Genomic DNA, 21,696 nt, shown 5'->3' with positions numbered 1-21,696 from the left:
TGGGGGCTGACGTGTGTGGGTGAGACAGAGGAGAAAGAAGGTGAATGGATGGATGAATCAATGAGAGGATGAATGAATGGATAGATGGGTGGATGAATGGATAGATGAATAAATTAATGAATGCAAGAATGGATGGATGGATGGATTGATGAATGGATAGATGAATAAATTAATGATGCAAGAATGGATGAACGGATGGATGGATGGATGGATAGATGAATAAATTGATGAATGTTAGAATGGATGAATGGATGGATGAATGGAAAGATGAATAAATGAATGAATGCAAGAAGGGATGAATGAATGGATGAATAAATGGATGGATGAATGGATAATGGATAGACGAACAAATAAATGAATGCAAAAATGGATGAAGAAATGGATGACGAATGGAAGGATGGATCAATGAATCGATGGAAGATGGATTAATGAATGGCTAAATGAGTGGATGCGTGGATGGATTAATGAATGCAAGAATGAATGGATGGATGGACGAATGGATGGATAGATGAATGAAAGGAAGGATGAATGAATGGATGGAAGGATGGTTGATTGGTTTGGGGTCTCCACCCGTCATTACTCCTGGGTGGCTAGGGAAAGTGAAGGGGGGCAGCAGACCCATCTGAAGTCGCAGTACCTCTCCCGGCCCCGCAGCCATCTTCAAGTTGGCCGACAGCGCTGCTCACCTGGCCGCCTCCCCTTTAAGACGCACACACCTGGGCTCTCACCTGGGCGCAGGCGCTTCCGCAGGAAGAAGGAAGCGGCGCCGCCATCGCCTCCCGGCGCTCCCTCCCCGACTCCTAAGTCCTTCGGCCGCCACCATGTCCGCCTCGGCTGTCTTCATTCTGGACGTTAAGGGCAAGGTGAGGCTGGGCATGAGGAGTTGGGAGACGGACAGGTGAGGTCTCGCTCCCAGGGATTCAGGGGCGACCCCTCCGCGCGGGCCAGGAAGAGGTCTGGGAACACCCCCTCCCCCTGCAATCCCTGGGAATCCCACCTCCAGCATCCACTCGCCTTGTGCCTGAGGCCAAGGGGTTCGCCTCCTAGGGCCTCAGTTTCTCTGTATGTAAAAATGGGAGCAACAGAGGTCCCCACCCAATGAGAATTAATACAACTCGCTGCGTGTAAACTACTTAGCATAGTGGCCTTTCTGGAAATATTAGGGACTCAGCAAATTGAAATTATCTCCATCACTGTCGGCATCCACAGTGTTAATACCTGGGGAAGGCAACTGGAACAGGGGCCTCTAACTCCCCCCATCTGTGGCTGCCTTGCCTCTTCCTGAAGTCCTTTTATTCCTCTTGTCTTTTTTTATTTTGGAGACAGGGTCTCTTGCTGTCTCCCAGGCTTGAGTGCAGTGGTGCGATCATAGCTCACTGCAGCCTGGAATTCCTGGGCTCAAGCGATCCTCCTGCCTCAGTCTCCGGAGTAGCTGTGACTACACAGGTGCAGGCCACCATGCCTGGCTAATTCTTGACATTTTTTTGTAGAGGGATCCCGCTATGTTGCCAAAGCTGCTCTCAAACTCCTGAATATCTGGGGCTGCGGGCTGACCCCTCCATGCCCGGCTATTTTTAATTTTTTTTTTTTTTTTTTTTTAAATAGAGTCTTGCTCTGTCACCCAGGCTGGAGTGCAGTGGCTCCATCTTGGCTCACTGCAACCTCCACCTCCCGGGTTGAAGCAATTCTCCTGCCTCAGCCTCCCGAGTAGCTGGGACTACAGGTGCATGCCACCATGCCTGGCTAATTTTTGTATTTTTTTTTTTTTTCAAGACAGAGTCTCGCCTTGTCACCCAGGCTGGAGTGCAATGGCATGATCTTGGCTCACTGCAACCTCCACCTCCCAGGTTCAAGTGATTCTCCTTCCTCAGCCTCCTGAGTAGCTGGGATTACAGGCGCGCACCATCACGCCCGGCTAATTTTTTGTATCTTTAGTAGAGATGGGGTTTCACCATGTTGGGCAGGATGGTCTCAATCTCTTGACCTCGTGATCCGCCCACCTCGGCCTCCCAAAGTGCTGGGATTACAGACATGAGCCACTGCGCCCGGCCGCACCCGGCCTATTTTTTATTTTTATTTTTTTGTACAGATGGAGTCTTGCTATGTTGTCCAGGATGGTCTTGAACTCCTGGTCCCCAGCTATCCCCCTGCTTCAGCCTCCCAAAGTGTTCGGATGACAGGTGTGAGCCACTGCAGTCAGCCTGTCTTGTCATTTAATAGCCAAAATAAGAGTGGTGGTGAAAATAATATTCCCATTAATATTAATAGTGAGAGCTAAGATGTTTGAGAACCTGCCATGGGTCCTCCCTGTTCAGACACTGGACAAAACAACCTTAGGAAGTGGTTAACTAATTTTTTTTTTTTTTGGAGATGGAGTCTCGCTCTGTCACCAGGCTGGTGTGATCTCAGCTCACAGCAACCTTCACCTCCTGGGTTCAAGTGATTCTCATGCCTTAGCCTCCTGAGTAGCTGGGATTACGGTCATGCGCCAGCACACCAAGCTAATTTTTGTATTTTTAGTAGAGACGGGGTTTCATCATGTTGGCCTGGATGGTCTCGAACTCTTGACCTCATGATCCACCCGCCTTAGCCTCCCAAAGTGCTGGGATTAAAGGCGTGAGCCACCGTGTCCAGACAGAAGTGTTTACTATTATGGGTGTCTTCCTGACTACCAGGCACAATCATATGAACTGTCATCTTTCTTTCTTTCTTTCTTTCTTTCTTTCTTTCTTTCTTTCTTTCTTTCTTTCTTTCTTTCTTTCTTTCTTTTTTTCTTCTTTCTTTCTTTCCTTCTTTCCTTCTTTCCTTCTTTCTTTCTTTCTTTTCTTCTTTCTTTTTTTGACAGGGTCTCACTCTGTTGCTCGGGCTGGAGTGCAGTAGTATGACCACAGCTCACTGTAGTCTCGACCTCCTAGGCTCAATTGATTCTTCTGCCTTAGCCTCCAGAGTAGCTGTGACTACAGAGGTGCAGGCCACCATGCTCAGCTAATTCTTGAAATTTTTTGTAGAGGGATCCCGCTATGTTGCCAAAGCTGGTCTCAAACTCCTGGCCTCAAGGGATCCTCCTGCCTTGGTCTTCATGAGTGAGTCATTGCACCTGGCCTCTTCTTTGTTTTTTTTTTTTGTTGTTGTTGTTTTTTTAAATAATCCCACTTTGGTGCAAATGAAGTCTGGGGCAACAGCAGGGATTCTGGACCCAGGATGCCTTAGATCAATCCCCAGTTTCCATATGCTTCCAGTGGACATGGTTTCTAACCTCACTTCTCCTGTGTGAAATGGAGATGATGATAACATCTACCCCACAGGGTTGTGGCAAGAACTAATAAGTTAGTAAACATCTACTCTTTTTTTAGTAGCCAGCCTGCCTGCCTACCTTCCTTCCTTCCTTCCTTCCTTCCCTCCTACCCTCCCTCCTTCCCTTCCTCCCTTCCTTCTTTACTTTCTTTCTTTCTTTCTTTCTCTCTTTCTTCTTTTGAGATGGAGTCTTGCTCTGTCGCCAGGCTGGAGTGCAGTGGCACGATCTCGGCTCACTGCAATCTCCGCCTCCCAGGTTCAAGTGATCCTCCTGCCTCAGCACCCCGAGTAGCTGGGACTATAGATACACGCCATCACGCCCGGCTAATTTTTTGTATTTTTAGTAAAGACGGGGTTTCACCATGTTGGCCAGGATGGTCTCGATCTCTTGACCTCATGATCCACCCGCCTCGGCCTCCCAAAATGCTGGGATCACAGGCGTGAGCCACTGCGTCCAGCCATCGCCTACCCTTTAATAAAACACAGCCTGGCACTTAGTGAGGGCCCTAGACCCATTAGCTGTTGTCATCACACTCCCATTTTACAGAGCAGGAAACAGGCACAAGGAGGCAGAGCCTTGCCCAAGCCCCTCAGCTAGGAAGTAGGGTCAGAACCGGGCACTGTGCCTCCTCAGCGTGGTAGGTTCTTGGATGCTGGTGGTGACCAGGTCCTTTCCTTCCACCCTCAGCCATTGATCAGCCGCAACTACAAGGGCGATGTGGCCATGAGCAAGATTGAGCACTTCATGCCTTTGCTGGTACAGCGGGAGGAGGAAGGCGCCCTGGCCCCGCTGCTGAGCCACGGCCAGGTCCACTTCCTATGGATCAAACACAGCAACCTCTACTGTATCCACCCCACGTGGTGTCCCTGGAGGTGGGTGTGGGGGCTGTCGGCGATGGTGGCAGCTCAGGCCAAGAGAGGGTGGGCTGAGGACAGGAGTTGCACCGCACATCTCTGTGGCTTAGGCTGGGGGGCAGGGGCAGGTAGAGATGAGGGTGGTGGCAAGGGACAGGGTGGAGGTTCGGGGTCTGTATTCCATTTACTTCTCCATAAATGGCACCTTTTCCTTAACCTTGCTGCCCCAGTGGTGGCCACCACATCGAAGAATGCCAATGCCTCCCTGGTGTACTCCTTCCTGTATAAGACAATAGAGGTAGGTACTAGCCTCCCATTGGCTAACTGGTCTATCCGTCTATCCCTCTTGCCCGCCTCTTTCAAGATTCAAGATCCTTTTCTGATAGGAAGCCTTCCCAGATCTCCCTGGGTCTTCCCTTTTTTTTTTTTCTGGTAGAGATGGGGTCTTGCTATATTGCCCAGGCTGGTCTAGAACTTCTGGATTGAAGCAATCCTACTGCCTTGGCCTCCCAAAGCATGGGAGCCACCACGCTCACCCCTTCCCTGGGGCCTTGTTTGAGTCTCTGTGCATCCGCCATCAAAGCCCCATCACTCTGCATCTCATCAGCTGCTTATGAAGTCATCTCTCCCTAAAGGACAGGGACCAAGAATGTCTCAGAGAGCATACGGCTCAGCTAAGCCCAAGGACTTGGCATCCAATCCCAGCTTCCCTGCTTCCTCACTGTGTGACCTTGAGCAAGTGACTTCTTGTCTCTGTGCTTAAAAAAAAAAAGAAAAAGGCCAGGCACAGTGGCTCATGCCTGTAATCCCAGTACTTTGGGAGGCTAAGGTGGGCGGATTGCTTGAGGCCAGGAGTTCGAGACCAGGCTGGCCAACATGCAGAAACCCCTTCTCTACTAAAAATACAAAAATTAGCCGGGTATGGTGGCACCTGCCTGTAATCCCAGCTACGGGGAAGGTTGAGGCAGGAGAATCACCTGAACCTGGAAGGCAGAGGTTGTGGTGAGCCAAGATCTCGCCACTGCACTCCAGCCTGGGCAACACTGTGAGACTTAGTCTCAAAAAAAAAAAAAGAAGCCACCATACCTGCCCTTTTTTGCCTAATTTTTCAAGCATTCAGTACACTTTTTCTTTTTTCTTTTTTGTTTTTTCTTTTGAGACAGGGTCTCACTTTGTTGCCCAGGCTGGAGTGCAGTGGCACAATCTCAGCTCACTGCAACCTCTACCTCCTGGGTTCAAGTGATTCTCCTGCTTCAGCCTCCCTAGTAGCTGCAATTACAGGCAGGTGCCACCATGCCTGGCTAATTTTTGTATTTTTAGTATAGACGGGGTTTTGCCATGTTGGCCAGCTGGTCTCAAACTCCTGACCTCAAGTGAGCTGCCTCCCTTGGCCTCCCATTGTTGGGATTACAGGCATGAGCCACCATGCCCGGCCTTTTTTCTTTTTGAGACAGGGGCTTATTCTGTTACGCAGGCTGGAGTGCAGTAGCATCCTCATGGCTCACTGCAGCCTCGAACTCCTATTAAAATTTTTGTTGTTGTTGTTAGAGATAGGGGCTCATGGCCGGGCACCGGTGGCTCATGCCATAATCCCAGCACTTTGGGAAGCCAAAGTGGGCGGATTACGAGATCAAGAGATCGAGATCATCCTGGCCAACATTGTGAAACCCCGTCTCTACTAAAAATACAAATATTAGCTGGCCCTGGTAGTGCGTGCCTGTAGTCCCAGCTACTCAGAAGGCTGAGGCAGGAGAATCGCTTGAACCCCGGAGGCAGGAGTTGCAGTGAGCCGAGATAGTGCCACTGCACTCCAGCCTGGGTGACAGTGCGAGACTGTCTCGAAAAAAAAAAGAAAAAAGAAAAAACGAGATAGGGGTTCACTATATTGCCCAGGCTGGTCTTGAACTCATGACCTTAAGTGATCCTCGTGCCTTGGCCTCCCAAGGTGCTGGGGTTACAGGCATGAGCTACTATGCCCAACCCATAGCCACACTTTTGTGGGTCTCTCTCTCCTCCAACCCCCAGGTATTCTGCGAATACTTCAAGGAGCTGGAGGAGGAGAGCATCCGGGACAACTTTGTCATCGTCTACGAGTTGCTGGACGAGCTCATGGACTTTGGCTTCCCGCAGACCACCGACAGCAAGATCCTGCAGGAGTGAGTGGACCCCTGGAGGCAGCCATGGGCTGGACTGTGGGTGTAAGGAACTGGAGGAGGTCCACGGAGGTGTCCCTGGGTCCAGCTGCTTGTCCCTGCCGCCCTCCCTCCAGGTACATCACTCAGCAGAGCAACAAGCTGGAGACGGGCAAGTCACGGGTGCCACCCACTGTCACCAACGCTGTGTCCTGGCGCTCCGAGGGTATCAAGTATAAGAAGAACGAGGTCTTCATTGATGTCATAGAGTCTGTCAACCTGCTGGTGAGCCTGCACACCTCCCCGGCACCCCTTCCACGGCCTGGCTGCAGGAGACGGAGTTTGATGCCTGCTAACTATACCCAACGTCCTCCCTCAGGTCAATGCCAACGGCAGCGTCCTTCTGAGCGAAATCGTCGGTACCATCAAGCTCAAGGTGTTTCTGTCAGGAATGCCAGAGCTGCGGCTGGGCCTCAATGACCGCGTGCTCTTCGAGCTCACTGGCCGTAAGCATTTAGGGGACCTTTCTTCTGAGAAATGCACAGGGGAGTCGCAAACCCGCCCCACGTGGGGACTTAAGAGAATCGCAGCCCGTTTTGAAATAAGCGCTCGCTCACCATCTGCTGATCACGGCCAGTATTGCAGCCATTGGCTGACTGCAAAGGCTGTTTCATGATTGAGCGACTATTGGGTGCCAGGTGCAGTTTTAGGCTCTGAGGACACAGCAGTGAAGAAAAAGACAAACCCGCGTTCTTACAGAGATGACATCCTACTGGGAGGAGGAGACAGAATAGCATCTTATTTATTTATTTATTTTGGGATGGGGTCTCGCTCTGTCACCCAGGCTGGAGTGCAGTGGTGTGATCATAGCTCATTGCAGCCTTGACCTCCGAGGCTCAACTGATCCTCCCACCTCAGCCTCTCGAGTAGCTGGGACTACAGGCATGGACCACCTACTTTTTAAATTTTTTATAGAGACGGGGGTCTCGCTATGTTGCCCAGTCTGGTCTAAACTCCTGGCCTCAAGCAATCCTCCCAAAGTGCTAGGATTACAGGTGTGAACTACTGTGCCTGGCTCAGCATCTTATTTATTGACTGATTGATTGATTTAAGATGGAGTCTCGCTCCGTCACCCGGCTGGAGTGCAGTGGCATGATCTCAGCTCACTGCAACCTCCGCCTCCTGGGTTCAAGCTATTCTCCTGCCTCAGCCTCCTGAGTAGCTGGGACTATAGGCACCAGCCACCACGCCCAGCTAATTTTTTTTGTATTTTTAGTGGAGACGAGGTTTCACCATGTTGGCCAGGATGGTCTCGATCTCTTTACCTTGTGATCCGCCCATCTCAGCCTCCCATAGTTCGGGGATTACAGGCGTGAGCCACCACGCCAGGCCTCAGCATCATATTTAAAAGCCAGACACTGCCGGGTATACAGTGGCTCACGCCTGTAATCCCAGCACTTTGGGAGGCCGAGGAGGGAGGATCACCTGAGGTTGGGAATTTGAGACCAGCCTGACCAACATGGAGAAACCCCGTCTCTACTAAAAATACAAAATTAGCCGGGGGTGGTAGCACATTCCTGTAATCCTATCTACTCAGTAGGCTGAGGCAGGAGAATGGCTTGAACTCGGGAGGTGGAGGTTGCGGTGAGCCAAGACGTGCCATCGCACTCCAGTCTGGGCAACAAGAGTGAAACTCTGTCTCAAAAAAAAAAAAAAAAAAAAAAAAACCAAGCCAGATCCTGTACAGATACTAGGTTCAGATTCCAGCTCTACTGTGCCAGTTTTTGCTCATTCTCTCTGGGCCCCAGTTTCCCCATATGTGAAATAGGTGACAGTGGTCGGCAGGAAAGGTGGGGATAGGGATCCTTTCCTGGTTCCCAGGGTCACTCTCCACTCTCCACTCTGAGTTTCAGGCAGCAAGAACAAATCAGTAGAGCTGGAGGATGTAAAATTCCACCAGTGCGTGCGGCTCTCTCGCTTTGACAACGACCGCACCATCTCCTTCATCCCGCCTGATGGTGACTTTGAGCTCATGTCATACCGCCTCAGCACCCAGGTGAGGCAGGGTCCAGCCCCATCTGGGTGGAGTAGGTTGGGGTAGGCTGAAGAGCGACCCTGGGCCCAGCGCAGTGGCTCACGCCTGTAATCCCAACAATTTTGGAGGCTGAGTCGGGTGGATCACTTGAGGACAGGAGTTCGAGACCAGCCTGGCCAACAGGGTGAAGCCCTGTCTCTACTAAAAATACAAAAATTAGCTGGGCATGGTGGCACATGCTGTAATCCCAGGTACTGGGGAGGCTGAGGCAGGAGAATTGCTTTATTTGTTTTTTTTAATTTTTATTATTATTATTTTTTTGAGACGGAGTCTGGCTCTTTCACCCAGGCTGGAGTGCAGTAGCGCTATCTCGGCTCACTGCAAGCTCCGCCTCCCAGGTTCACGCCATTCTCCTGCCTCAGCGTCCCGAGTAGCTGGGACTATAGGCGCATGCCACCGTGTCCAGCTAATTTTTTGCATTTTTAGTAGAGACGGGGTTTCGCCGTGTTAGCCAGGATGGTCTCGATCTCCTGACCTCGTGATCCGCCCACCTTGGCCTCCCAAAGTGCTGGGATTACAGGCGTGAGCCACCGCTCCCGGCCGAGAATTGCTTTAGTCCAGGAGGTGCAGGTTGCAGTGAGCCAAGATCACGCCATGGCACTTCAGCCTGGGCGAAGAAGCGAGACTCTGTCTCAAAGAAAGAAAAAAAAAAAAAAAAAAAGAAGAGAGTCAACATGGAGTCTCCAAGAACTCTCCCCTTCTTCTTCCCACAGGTCAAGCCACTGATCTGGATTGAGTCTGTCATTGAGAAGTTCTCCCACAGCCGCGTGGAGATCATGGTCAAGGTGGGCCTTGGGGGAATGCTTATTAACAATGCATGATCTCGGGTGGGTGCGGTGGCTCACACCTGTAATCCCAGCACTTTGGGAGGCCGGGGTGGTTAGATCACTTAAGCCCAGGACTTTGAGACCAGCCTGGGCAACAGGGCGAAACCCTGTTTCTACAAAAAATACAAAAATTAGCCTGGTAAAGTGGTGAGTGCCTGTAGTGCCAGTTAGTTGGGAGGCTGAGGTGGGAGGATTGCTTGAGTCCAGGAGGAGGAGGTTGTAGTGAGACAAGGACTCTAGCCTGGATGACAGAGCTAGACCCCATCTCCAAAAAGAAAAAAGAAAAAAAAAATCTGTTATCAAATAAAATAATAACTCTCCTGTGATGGACTGAAGGGTTTTTTTGTTTGTTTGTTCGTTTGTTTTTTGAGAAAGAGTCTCCCTCTGTCACTCGGGCTGGAGTGCAGTGGTGTGATCTCAGCTCACCGCAACCTCTGCCTCCTGGGTTCATGCCATTCTCCTACCTCAGCCTCCCGAGCAGCTGGGATTACAGGCTCCTGCCGCCACGCCTGCCTCCATCTCCCCAAGTGCTGGGATTACAGGTGTGGCCCACCACCCCCGGCTTTTTTCAACAAGCCTTTCATATGCCCTCTCAGCCCAGGCCTCCACAATCCTAAGGTGGGGACCCTTATCCTGTCCATTTTACAGATGAGGAAACTGAGGCACACAGAAGTTAAGGCATTTGCCTGCAGATACACAGCCAACAACTGTTAGAACTCAGGCCCACACCCATGAGGCTCGAGAAGCCCTGTTCTTGGTGCCTTCCATGTGGACAGCACCATACACCTTTGCCTGATTCAAAATGACCCCTTCAGGCTGGGTGCAGTGGTTCATACCTGTAATCCCAGCATGTTGGGAGGCGGAGGCAGTAGGATCACCTGAGGTCAGGCGTTCCAGACCAGCCTGACCAACATGGAGAAACGCTGTCTCTACTAAAAATACAAAATTAGCAGGGCGTGGTGGCACATGCCTGTAATCCCACCTACTTGGGAGGCTGAGGCAGGAGAATTGCTTGAACCCAGGAGGCGGAGGTTGCCGTGAGCGGAGATTGTGCCACTGCACTCCAGCCTGGGTGACAGAGAGAGACTCCGTCTAAAAAAAAAAAAAAAAAAAAAGGCCAAGCATGGTGGCTCACGCCTGTAATCCCAGCACTTTGAGAGGCCGGGGTGGGCGGATCACGAGGTCAGGAGATCGAGAACATCCTGGCTAACATGCTGAAACCCCGTCTCTACTAAGAATACAAAAAAAATTAGCTGGGCGTGCTGGCGGGTGCCTGTAGTCCCAGCTGCTCAGGAGGCTGAGGTAGGAGAATGGCGTGAACCTGGGAGGCGGAGCTTACAGCCAGCCGAGATCGCGCCACTGCACTCCAGCCTGGGCGACAGAGTGAGACTCCGTCTCAAAAAAAAAAAAAAAAAAAAAAAAAAAAGGGCTTGGTAAATATTTGAAGGATGAGCAAGCGAATTCTTCGTGCCCCATGCTCGCTCCCCTGACAGGCCAAGGGGCAGTTTAAGAAACAGTCAGTGGCCAACGGTGTGGAGATATCTGTGCCTGTACCCAGCGATGCCGACTCCCCCAGATTCAAGACCAGTGTGGGCAGCGCCAAGTATGTGCCGGAGAGAAACGTCGTGATTTGGAGTATTAAGTCTTTCCCGGTAAGTACCAGGGACTGGCGGGGGATCTGGGGGTGGAGGGGACTGGAGTAGTGTGGGGGCTGCCCAGGAGCCATGAGAACAAGGCAGAGAACAAATCAGAGACCCAGTCAGGTGTGATGGCTCATGACTGGAATGCCAGTACTTTGAGAGGCTGACACGGGCAGATCGCTTGAACCCAGGAGCTGGAGACCAGCCTGGGGAACACAGTGAGACCCTGCCTCTATAAAAATATTAAGAGGAGCTGGGCGCAGTGGCTCACGCCTGAAATCCCAGCCTGGCTAACATAGAGACGGCTAACATCCGTCTCTAGTAAAAGTACAAAAATTAGCTGGGTGTGGTGGCGCATGCCTGTAATCCCAGCCACTCGGGACACTGAGGCAGGAGAATTGCTTGAACCCGGGAGGCAGAGGTTGCAGTGAGCTGAGATTGTGCCACTGCACACTCCAGCCTGGGCAACAGAACGAGACTCCGTCTCAAAAAAAAAAAAAAAAGATTAAAAGGCCAGACATGGTGGCTCATACCTGTAATCCCAGCACTTTGGGAGGCTGAAGCGGGCAGATCACCTGAGGTCAGAAGTTCAAGACCAGCCTGGCCAACATGGTGAAAACCCGTCTCTACTAAAAATACAAAAATTAGGGCAGGGCACGGTGGCTCACGCCTGTAATCCCAGCACTTTGGGAGGCCGAGGTGGGCGGATCACGAGGTCAGGAGATCGAGACCATCCTGGCTAACATGGTGAAACCCCATCTCTACTAAAAATACAAAAAATTAGCCGGGCGTGGTTGCAGGCGCCTGTAGTCCCAGCTATTTGGGAGGCTGAGGCAGGAGAATGGCCTGAACTCGGGAGGTGGAGCTTGCAGTGAGCAGAGATCACGCCACTGCACTCCAGCCTGGGTGACAGAGCGAGACTCCATTTCAAAAAAAAAAAAAAAAAAAAAATTAGCCGGGCATGGGGGTGTGCGCCTGTAGTACCAGCTACTCAGGAGGCTGAGGCAGGAGAATCACTTGAACCCGGGAGGCGGAGGTTGCAGTGAGTTGAGATCACGCCACCGCACTCCAGCCTGGGTGACAGAGTGAAACTCTGTCTCAAGAAAAAAAAAAAAACTTAGAAAAAAGAAATACAAGGCCAGGCGCAGTGGCTCACGCCTGTAATTCCCAGCACTTTGGGAGGCTGAGGCGGGCAGATTACGAGGTCAGGAGATCGAGACCATCCTGGCTAACACTGTGAAACCCCGTCTCTACTAAAAATACAAAAAAAAAAAAAATTAGCTGGGCGTGGTGGCGGGCGCCTGTAGTCCCAGCTACCGGGAGGCTGAGGCAGGAGAATGGCGTGAACCTGGGAGGCGGAGCTTGCAGTGAGCCAAGACCGCACCACTACACTCCAGCCTGGGCGACAGAGTAAGACTCCATCTCAAAAAAAAAAAAAAAGAAAAAAAAAGAAAAAAAAAGAAAAAAGAAATACAAGTAAATCAGAGAGGTACGTATGTATGCAAGTGATCAAGCTTGAAACCAGGCCAGTCTATTTCACAGACGTGTAAACTTCCATGACGGGAAGTGTGTGGATTTAAATATCCCCCTGCCAATGTCTTGAGGAAACCAGCCCTGGGTTCACCTTCCTCACTATTGCTTTGCTGAGCTGGGTGGGTTTGGGAAACCCATTTCCACTTAAGGAGGCTCAGTTTGCCTGTCTGTGAAATGGGCAGGATGAGGTGACCCACATCCCTTGGCTACTAGAGGTTTTGGTTTGTCCCCATGATCTTGGGAGAGGTGGATCATCAGTGCCTGTAAAACAGGACATGGTAGTTAAAAAAAGAAAAAAACCCTGATTGGGTTTTGCAGTCAGAATCTTCCCTGGTGAGTCTCTGTCACCCAGGTTGGGGTGCAGTGGTGAGATCATGGCTCACTGCAGCCTCAAACTCCCAGACTCAAGGGATCTTCCTGCCTCAGCCTCCCAAGTAGCTGAAACTGCAGGCATGTTCCACCGCACCCAGCTAATTTTTAAACTTTTTGTAGACATGGTATCTCAATATGTTGCCCAGGCTAAGGAGCCTTTATTTTCCTGTCTGTGAAATGGGCTGTGAGCAGATCTGACTCCAGGGGTTGCTGAAAGGAAGGTCTCGGGAGGGTAGGCGGACCCTCGTGTACCTGATGCCCCCATGTTCCCTCAGGGGGGCAAGGAGTACTTGATGCGAGCCCACTTTGGCCTCCCCAGTGTGGAAAAGGAAGAGGTGGAGGGCCGGCCCCCCATCGGGGTCAAGTTTGAGATCCCCTACTTCACCGTCTCTGGGATCCAGGTGAGAGAAGCAGGCAGGGAGGATCCTCCCCTTGACTTCGGTGGGTTCCCCTCTCTCCTGTCCCTTGGCTCGAGTCACCTCAGTCCCCTGGCCTGTGTCAACACTCCTCTGAAGGCTGCCTGGTCTTTCCCAGAGCAATGTTACCTTTATCTGCCCACAGCCTGTGCTCCCTCTCCCCCGGCCTGTGCCACCTTGTTCCCCACCGGCTTGTTCACTTCTGTCCCTTCTCCACCTCCAAAGCCATTCACCATTCCGTTGCCTGTGCCACCTCATCCCCCTAAGACCATGTGATATCCCCTCATCGATCCCAGCCTGTGCCACATAGCCGCTTGGCCTAAGCCGTCTCTTTCTCCCTGGCCCTGGCCTCCTCCCTCCTGCAATCCTGGACCACCTCTTTTCATTCCCTTCCAGGTCCGATACATGAAGATCATTGAGAAAAGTGGTTACCAGGCCCTGCCCTGGGTTCGCTACATCACCCAGAGTGGCGGTAAGGCAGCCCAGCTCCTGGGGACAATGGGGTGAGGGAAAGGCAGTGGGTAGGGACTCGAGGCTTTCACCACATTCTGGCTCAGAAAACCAACAAGGGTCAGGTGTGATGGTTCAGGTGTGTAATCCTAGCACTTTGGGAGGCCAAGGCGGGTGGATCTCTTGAGGCCGGGAGTTCGAGACCAACCTGGCCAACATGGTGAAACCCTGTTTCTACTAAAAATACAAAAATTAGCCGGGTGTGGTGGTGTATGCCTATAATCCAAGCTACTCAGGAAGCTGAGGCAGAATTGCTTGAACCCGGGAGGTGGAGGTTGCAGTGAGCTGAGATCGTGCCACTGCACTCCTGCCTGGTCGACAGAAACCCTGTCTCAAAAAATGAAAAAGAAAGCAAACTGCCCCTTCTTGTCATGGCACCCTGGGCCTTGGTTTGCACGTCTTTAAAATGGGGGCAGTTGGCTGGGTGTGGTGGCTCACATCTGTAATTCCAGCACTTTGGGAGGCTGAGGTGGGAGGACCGCTTGAGCTCAGGAGTTCCAGACCAGCCTTGGCAACACAGCAAAACCCCTTCACTACAAAAAATATAAAAATTAGCCAGGTGTGATGTGCACACCTGTAGTCCCAGCAACTCAGGAGGCTGAGGTGGGAGGATCGCCTGAGCCCAGGAGGTCGAGGCTGTAGTGAGCTGTGATTGCACCACTGCACTCCATCCTGGGCAAGAGTGAGACCCTGGCTCAAAAAAAAAAAAAAAAAAAAAGGAAAAAAAAGCAGGGACAGTTGTCAGCGTCAGTTCTAGGGTGGTCGCGAGTTTGGAGAAGGGGCTGAACATATAGCACCTCCATCTGCTGCCTGGAAACTGCCTTGTTTCTATGGTTACAGTACCTGTGTTTAGCCCCATTCTTAGCCTTGTTGATCATGAGTGCTGGGATAGGGGATGAATTGAGGGGCTGTGGGAGGCTGTCCCTCTTCCTTCACCCCTCCCCATTTCTTTTCTTTTTTGAGATGGAATCTCACTCTGTCGCCCAGGCTGGAGTGCAGTGGCGCAATCTCAGCTCACTGCAACCTCCACCTCCTGGGTTCAAGCAATTCTTCTGCCTCAGCCTCCCTAGTAGCTGGGATTACAGGTGTGCACCATCATACCCAGCTAATTTTTGTATTTTTAATAGACATGGGGTTTCACCATGTTGGCCAGGCTGGTCTCGAACCCCTGACCTCAAGTGATCCACCTGCCTCGACCTCCCAAAGTGCTGGGATTATAAGCGTGAGTCACCGTGCCCGGCCCCCCTCTCCCCATTTCTGAGATGGCCCCTCCTCATTCTTTCTCTGCAGATTACCAACTTCGTACCAGCTAGAAGGGAGAAGAGATGGGGGCTTGAACACGGGGCTTCCTTACAGCCCCGGATGCAGATTTTAGAGGGAGGGCAGGTGCGGGCTGTGTGTGTCTGTGTGAGGGCAGGTCCTGGACTTGGCAGTTTCTTGCTCCCAGCACCCGCCCCTTCCTCACCTCTTCCTTATTCCATAGGCTGGGAGAGAAACTCTCTCTGCTTCCCTCGCCCTTGGAGCTTTCCCCATCCCCCTGATTTTATATGAAGAAATAGAAGAGGGGCTTGAAGTCCTCCTCGCGAGTGCCTTCTTGCAATTACCTGCCTTAGCGGGTGTTGCGGGTCCCTCCTTCACAGCCGCTGAGCCCAGAGGTCCCGCTGGCCCCTCCTCTGAATTTTAGGATGTCATTAAAAAGATGAATCTAGCCGCTGCCTATGTGCTTGTTTGGGGACATTACTGAAGTGCTGCAATGGGAGTGGGTAACACGTGTCAGTCCATTCCTCAGTCCCGGGTCATGGCCCTGGTCCTCTGCTGTTGCCTTTGCTTCCCACCTCCACGGTCTGTTCCCCCAGTAGCCGCTAGAGGGCGCGTGTTAGCATCGCTTCTTTTTTCCTTTTTTCTTTTTTCTTTTTTTTTTTTTGAGACAGTCTCACTGTAGCCCAGGCTGGAGTGCAGTGTCGCGATCTCGGCTCACTGCAACCTCCGCCTCCCAGGTTCAGGCAATTCTCCTGCCTCAGCCTCCCGAGTAGCTGGGATTATAGTCGTAGTCGCCCACCATCACGCCTGGCTTTTTTTGTCTGTTTGTTTGTTTGTTTTGTTTGAGACGGAGTCTCAGTCTGTCGCCAAGGCTGGAGTAGTGCAGTGGTGCGATCTCGGCTCACTGCAGCCTCCGCCTCCCGGGTTCAAGCGATTCTTCTGCCTCAGCCTCCCGAGTAGCTGGGATTACAGGCGCCCATCACCACACCTAGCTAATTTTTGTATTTTTAGTAGAGACCGGTTTCACCATGTTGGCCAGGCTGGTCTCGAACTCCTGACCTCATGATCTGCCCGCCTCGGCTTCCCAAAGTGCTGGGATTACAGGCATGAGCCACTGCGCCTGGCTTAATTTTTGTTTTTGTTTTTGTTTTTTTGAGACGGAGTCTCGCTCTGTCGCCCAGGCTGGAGTGCAGTGGCGCGATTTCGGCTCACTGCAACCTCCACCTCCCAGGTTCAAGCGATTCTCCTGCCTCAGCCTGCTGAGTAGCTGGGATTACAGGCGTGCGCCACCATGCCCCACTAATTATTGTTATTTTTAGTAGAGACGGGGTTTCACCATGTTGGTCAGGCTGGTCTCAAACTCCTGACCTCATTATCCGCCCGCCTTGGCCTCCCAAAGTGCTAGGATTACCGGCGTGAGCCACCGCGCCTGGCTTAATTTTTTTTTTTTTTTGAGACAAGAGTCTTGCTCTGTCGCCCAGGCTGGAGTGCAGTGGCGTGATCTCGGCTCACTGCAAGCTCCGCCTCCCGGGTTCATACCATTCTCCTGCCTCAGCCTCCCAAGTAGCTGGGACTACAGGCGCCCGCCACCACGCCTGGCTAATTTTTTGTATTTTTAGTAGAGACGGTGTTTCACCGTATTAGCCAGGATGGTCTCAATCTCCTGACCTCGTGATCCGCCCGCCACGGCCTCCCAAAATGCTGGGATTACAGGCGTGAGCCACTGCGCCCGGCCTGTATTTTTTAATAGAGATGGGATTTCACCATGTTGGCTAGTCTGGTCTCGAACTCCCCACCTCAGGTGATCCACCCGCCTCAGCTTCCCAAAATGTTGGAATTACAGGTGTGAGCCACTTCGCTCGGCATTCCTATCTTATTAAAGCCATGGCCTGGTCGGGCGTGGGCGACAGAGCAAGACTCTGTCTCAAAAAAAAAAAAAAAAAAAAAAAAAGGCCGGGCACGGTGGCGGGCGCCTGTAGTCCCAGCTACTCGGGAGGCTGAGGCAGGAGAATGGCGTGAACCCGGGAGGCGGGGCTTGCAGTGAGCCGCGATAGCGCCACTGCACTCTGGCCTGGGCGAGTGAGACTCCGTCTCAAAAAAAAAATTAAAAAAAAATTAAAATAAATAAATAAATAAAAAAGCCATGGCTTGATTTGCACAATTGCCATCCTGATACCCCACCTACCTGCTCTCCCCTGCTCTGTACCACACCAGGCACGCTCTCACCTCTGGGCCTTAGCATCTGCTGTGCCTCCCAGCTGGTGTGCTTTTCCCCATATAACCACAAGTCTCCCTCCCTCACCTTTAGGTCTCAAATCAAATGTCACCTCTTCAGGGAGGCCCTCCCTGCCTTTGCGTTTCTTTTTCTTTTCTTTTCTTTTCTTTTTTTTTTTTTTTTGAGACAGAGTCTCACTCTGTTGCCCAGGCTGGAGTACAATGGCGCGATCTCGGCTCCTGCGACCTCCGCCTCCTGGGTTCAAGCGATTCTCCTGTCTCAGCCTCCTGAGTAGCTGGGATTACAGGTGCGTGCCACCAGGCGCAGCTAATTTTTTTTTTTTTTTTTTTTTTTTTGAGACGGAGTCTCGCTGTCGCCCAGGCTGGAGTGCAGTGGCGCAATCTCGGCTCACTGCAGGCTCCGCCCCCTGGGGTTCACGCCATTCTCCTGCCTCAGCCTCCCGAGTAGCTGGGACTACAGGCGCCCGCCACCTCGCCCGGCTAATTTTTTATATTTTTGGTAGAGACGGGGTTTCACCATGTTGGTCAGGCTGGTCTTGAACTCCTGACCTCGTGATCCGCCCACCTCAGCCTCCCAGAGTGCTGGGATTACAGGTGTGAGCCACCGCGCCCGGCTTTTTGCCTTTCCGTTTCAATGGCTCATCTGGTCAGTCCTCTACCACTCTAAAAAGATTTAACTATTGGCGGAGAGCAGGAGCTCACGCCTGTAATCCCAGCACTTTTGGAGGCCAAGGCAGAAGGATCCGTTGAGCCCAGGAATTCGGGACCAGCCTGGGCAACAAAGCAAGAACCCCAACATAAAAAAAAAAATCTGTATTTAAAAGCCAAACACAAATAACAAACAAAAAACACCAGCCTGGGCAACATAGTGAAACCTCATATCTACTAAAAACACAAATTAGCCGGGCGTGGTGGTGCGCCCTGTAGTCCCAGCTACTCGGGAGGCTGAGGCAGGAGGATCACTTGAGCCCGGGAAGTCGAGGCTGCAGTGAGCTGTGATCGCGCCACTGCACGCCGGCCCGGGTGACAGGAGTGAGACCCTGACTCAAAAATAAATACATATATAAATAAAAATTAACTATTGTCTCTGGCCCCAGACCATAGGTGTCCCTGCAGCAGGGGCCGACTGGCGTGCTCTCCACTCGGGCCCCTCTAGGAGGTGCTAAGTAAATATTTGAACGAAGACCTCTGAGTCCCTGTCTGGCTGCGACTATGTCCTCTCAGGCCTTCCCACGTGGCAGCTGCAGGCTCCTTTCCTGCTGGCTCAGTCTGAGCCCGGCAGGGTGATCCCTTCCTCATCCACTCCGTCTCTCCGTTTCCCTTTCTTCACGGTGCTTGACACTATCTAATATTATTTGGTTGTTTGAATGTGCGCGTCCAGCTCCCAGGACGCTCCCTGCACACAGTGAATGAATAAATGAATGAAATAAAGCGCCCAGCTCGTAGTAAGGGCCAATGAATGTCTATTAGTAGTGGAACCTCGGATTGGGTGGCTCCAGCCCTGCCTCCCTTCCCTCAGGAGGCGCCGAGGTCCCAGAGCAGCCCGCGCGACCCTGCCCCTGACCTTTCTCCCTGGGTCAGTTAAACCAGCCTTCTTTCCCGCCTGCCGGGTTCATTTGAAAACCGAAAACCCCGCCATTGCCGGCGGTCCACCGGTTGCCACACTCTGACCAATCAGGAGCGACGCGTTTCACGCCGAGCCCGAAGTTTCCCCGGCGACGCGCAGCCACTGGTTATGCAGGCCCTGTGGGCGGAACGCCGTAAGGTCGCGCGCCGGGCAACGCGGTGCCGCTACACAGTAGCGAGTTTGTAAGAAAACAAATCAGTTGCGTTCGGGGCGTGGCCGGGAGCACGTTGGCTCCGCCCCCTGGCGGCTGCCTCAGCGGCGGCGGCGGCGCAGGCTCAGAGCAGACCCCGCCCGGCGAGGAGGAGGGAGGGTGAGTTAGGGGGAGACCCGGCCCCCAAGGGGCGGGCGCCGGGCAGGGCCCCGCGGGCGGCCGAGGGTTGGGCCCGGCTCCCAGCCCCTCGCCGTCCTCCGGCTGACAGGGGGAGGAGCCCGCCGGGAGGGCCGGGGTCTCGGGCTGGGGAGCCGGGACGGGAGAGCAGCGCAGCCGGGTGCACCGCGGCCGCGCCCCGGGAGGGCTGTTCGGGCCAGCGCCCGCCGGCTGCTCCGCGCTGACAGCGCCGGGCTGGGGCGGGGCGGGGGGCTTTGCAGGCCGCCAGTGTCGACATGCTGCTGGAGGAGGTTCGCGCCGGCGACCGGCTGAGTGGGGCGGCGGCCCGGGGCGACGTGCAGGAGGTGCGCCGCCTTCTGCACCGGGAGCTGGTGCATCCCGACGCCCTCAACCGCTTCGGCAAGACGGCGCTGCAGGTGAGGCCGGGCCGGTCCAGGTTGGGGCGGGGCGGCTAAGCGGGATGAGGATCGAGACCCCAGAGCTCCTCTCTGGTCTCCTGGCCCTGGTGGTGACCCACTGGGAACCGGTCCTTCTTCTCTAGGCTTTCATTGTTCCCCCACAGTCCCCCTTCGAAGGTGGGTGGTGGGTGAGGCTAGGTTGTGGGGGGAGGGGAGAGCTTTTTAGCATCTTCTCTGGGAGGATTCCTGGTTCTCTGAGTGCCGGGGATTCACTTTCCCTGGGGAGGTTCTTATTCCGTGGGTGCGGGTTCAGCTCCTTTGGATGCCGTTTCCATGGGGACGGCTCACGTTTCTTGGGGCTTCTATGGGGAGATCCGATCTCTGGAAGGAGAGGTCCTGTCTCTAGGGGTTCCTCATTTTGTAGGGGGCTCTCTGAGACAAATCTGGTTACTTGGGGGTGGGGTCTTCATTCCTAAAGGTTATGCGGATCCTTGATATAGTATGGGGGCCCCAATGGAGGAACAATGTCAGATTGCAAGACATCCCTATATTCCCTGGGAGACATTTTACAGGGAAGTCTCGTTTCTCTTTTATTATTACTTTTGGAATCCCGCTTCTTGAAAGGAGCTCTCAGGTACTCTGAGGTGACATCACCATTATGTAGGAGGAGGCTATTTCCTGGAGAAGGGGTTCGCTTTCCTTTGACATCTTTTTTCCCTTATGAGGACTATCAATTCTTTGGGGGTAGTTCTCCATCTCTGGGGGCCCATTTCCTGGAGGGGATTTTCTGTTTCCTGGTGATTGCCCATATCTGGGGGCGTCTTTGGTCCCTTGGGGGAGAGTCTTAGGTTCCTTGAAAGTTTCCATGGGGGGCTGTTCTCTGGGTTGGGGGGTCTCATTCTTAAGGGAGTGACCAGCTTTTGGGGGGGGTCCCTATTCCCAGAAGAACTTTCCTGGGGGCTTATGCAGCTTCTCCGTTCACTAGAGGACCCCTCCTCTAGCATTTCCTGTTTCTGGGAGATGCCTCTTTCTGGATGACCCTTCTCTTTCCAGTGACCCCTTTTGTGGAACCTCCTCCCTTGAGGACCTCCTGATCCTCTGTCCCTCACACAGGTCATGATGTTTGGCAGCACCGCCATCGCCCTGGAGCTGCTGAAGCAAGGTGCCAGCCCCAATGTCCAGGACACCTCCGGTACCAGTCCAGTCCATGACGCAGCCCGCACTGGATTCCTGGACACCCTGAAGGTCCTAGTGGAGCACGGGGCTGATGTCAACGTGCCTGATGGCACCGGGGCACTTCCAATCCATCTGGCAGTTCAAGAGGGTCACACTGCTGTGGTCAGCTTTCTGGCAGCTGAATCTGATCTCCATCGCAGGGACGCCAGGGGTCTCACACCCTTGGAGCTGGCACTGCAGAGAGGGGCTCAGGACCTCGTGGACATCCTGCAGGGCCACATGGTGGCCCCGCTGTGATCTGGGGTCACCCTCTCCAGCAAGAGAACCCCGTGGGGTTATGTATCAGAAGAGAGGGGAAGAAACACTTTCTCTTCTTGTTTCTCCTGCCCACTGCTGCAGTAGGGGAGGAGCACAGTTTGTGGCTTATAGGTGTTGGTTTTGGGGGTGTGAGTGTTTGGGGGACGTTTCTCATTTGTTTTTCTCACTCCTTTTGGTGTGTTGGACAGAGAAGGGCTCCTGCAGGCCACAGCCACCTAAACGGTTCAGTTTCTTCTGCGCCTCAGGCTGCTGGGGCCTCAGACGAGACCCAAGGGCAGAGCATTTAAGAGTGAAGTCATGACCTCCAGGGAGCCTAGAAGCTGGTGGCCTTGGCCGGCTGTGCTCAGAGACCTGAAGTGTGCACGTTGCTTCAGGCATGGGGGGTGGGGGGAGCGTCCCAAATCAATAAGAAGGTAGAATGAGTTATGAGTTATTCATATTCTGTTGGAAGCTTGTTTTCCAGTCTCTTGTACAGCGTTTTAAAAGAAATGGATTCTATTTATTATGCTTTATTGGAAAAAATGTTGTAATAATTTAATGTTTTTACCCATTAAATTAAGACTTGTGCATGATCACAGCACGGGTGGCTTCTGATTTTTGAGTCTGGGATGGAGAGTTACACATCCCGGATGTTGATGGGGATGAGGACGGGGGTCGCGGATCGTGGATGTGGTGGGTGA

General features: G+C 52.8%; 2 protein-coding genes across 5 annotated transcripts, besides 3 other annotated features; both read left to right on the top strand.

The window, feature by feature from the left end:
* Nucleotides 1-740: 740 nt before the first annotated feature.
* Nucleotides 741-15,382, top strand: AP1M2 (adaptor related protein complex 1 subunit mu 2). 3 transcript variants are annotated; one of them, NM_005498.5, is made up of 12 exons: nucleotides 741-863; nucleotides 3,983-4,139; nucleotides 4,380-4,447; nucleotides 6,175-6,305; nucleotides 6,419-6,566; nucleotides 6,661-6,787; nucleotides 8,195-8,337; nucleotides 9,090-9,161; nucleotides 10,697-10,855; nucleotides 13,024-13,149; nucleotides 13,561-13,636; nucleotides 14,965-15,382. In NM_005498.5, exons 1-12 carry the CDS (start codon nucleotides 822-824, stop codon nucleotides 14,985-14,987), a joined length of 1,272 nt encoding a protein of 423 aa, NP_005489.2. In that variant the 5' UTR covers nucleotides 741-821; the 3' UTR covers nucleotides 14,988-15,382. The 3 variants fall into 3 exon arrangements, with proteins under 3 accessions (NP_005489.2, NP_001287816.1, XP_047293974.1); NM_001300887.2 differs by having other exon boundaries at nucleotides 8,189-8,337; XM_047438018.1 differs by having other exon boundaries at nucleotides 741-898; nucleotides 8,189-8,337.
* Nucleotides 18,808-19,457: a silencer, noted in NCBI's record as "silent region_10083". NCBI's record gives its function as "represses an Ori minimal core promoter by ATAC-STARR-seq in GM12878 lymphoblastoid cells {active_cell/tissue: GM12878}" and the evidence as "EXISTENCE:reporter gene assay evidence [ECO:0000049][PMID:35858748]".
* Nucleotides 19,074-21,593, top strand: CDKN2D (cyclin dependent kinase inhibitor 2D). Of its 2 annotated transcripts, NM_079421.3 has the most exons (3): nucleotides 19,074-19,106; nucleotides 19,385-19,540; nucleotides 20,636-21,593. In NM_079421.3, the coding sequence occupies exons 2-3, from the start codon at nucleotides 19,400-19,402 to the stop codon at nucleotides 20,993-20,995; spliced, it is 501 nt and encodes a 166-aa protein (NP_524145.1). In that variant the 5' UTR covers nucleotides 19,074-19,106; nucleotides 19,385-19,399; the 3' UTR covers nucleotides 20,996-21,593. The 2 variants fall into 2 exon arrangements, with proteins under 2 accessions (NP_524145.1, NP_001791.1); NM_001800.4 differs by having other exon boundaries at nucleotides 19,074-19,540.
* Nucleotides 19,738-19,907: an enhancer, noted in NCBI's record as "active region_13979". NCBI's record gives its function as "activates an Ori minimal core promoter by ATAC-STARR-seq in GM12878 lymphoblastoid cells {active_cell/tissue: GM12878}" and the evidence as "EXISTENCE:reporter gene assay evidence [ECO:0000049][PMID:35858748]".
* Nucleotides 20,347-20,854: an enhancer, noted in NCBI's record as "H3K4me1 hESC enhancer chr19:10677875-10678382 (GRCh37/hg19 assembly coordinates)". NCBI's record gives its function as "activates a minimal SCP1, AML or CMV promoter by ChIP-STARR-seq in naive H9 embryonic stem cells {active_cell/tissue: H9 hESC(naive)}" and the evidence as "EXISTENCE:reporter gene assay evidence [ECO:0000049][PMID:30033119]".

Source organism: Homo sapiens, chromosome 19, assembly GCF_000001405.40.
Source record: "Homo sapiens chromosome 19, GRCh38.p14 Primary Assembly".
Taxonomy (NCBI): domain Eukaryota; kingdom Metazoa; phylum Chordata; class Mammalia; order Primates; family Hominidae; genus Homo; species Homo sapiens.
Note: the sequence above shows the minus strand (reverse complement) of the source record. Positions and strands in the feature narration are given on the sequence as shown.

Coding starts and splice junctions, on each gene's coding strand:
- AP1M2 (NM_001300887.2), top strand. CDS start 822: ATGTCCGCCTCGGCTGTCTTCATTCTGGACGTTAAGGGCAAG. Junction 8,338..9,089: donor CATACCGCCTCAGCACCCAG/GTGAGGCAGGGT, acceptor TTCTTCCCACAG/GTCAAGCCACTGATCTGGAT. Junction 10,856..13,023: donor GGAGTATTAAGTCTTTCCCG/GTAAGTACCAGG, acceptor ATGTTCCCTCAG/GGGGGCAAGGAGTACTTGAT.
- CDKN2D (NM_079421.3), top strand. CDS start 19,400: ATGCTGCTGGAGGAGGTTCGCGCCGGCGACCGGCTGAGTGGGGCGGCG. Junction 19,541..20,635: donor TCGGCAAGACGGCGCTGCAG/GTGAGGCCGGGC, acceptor TCCCTCACACAG/GTCATGATGTTTGGCAGCAC.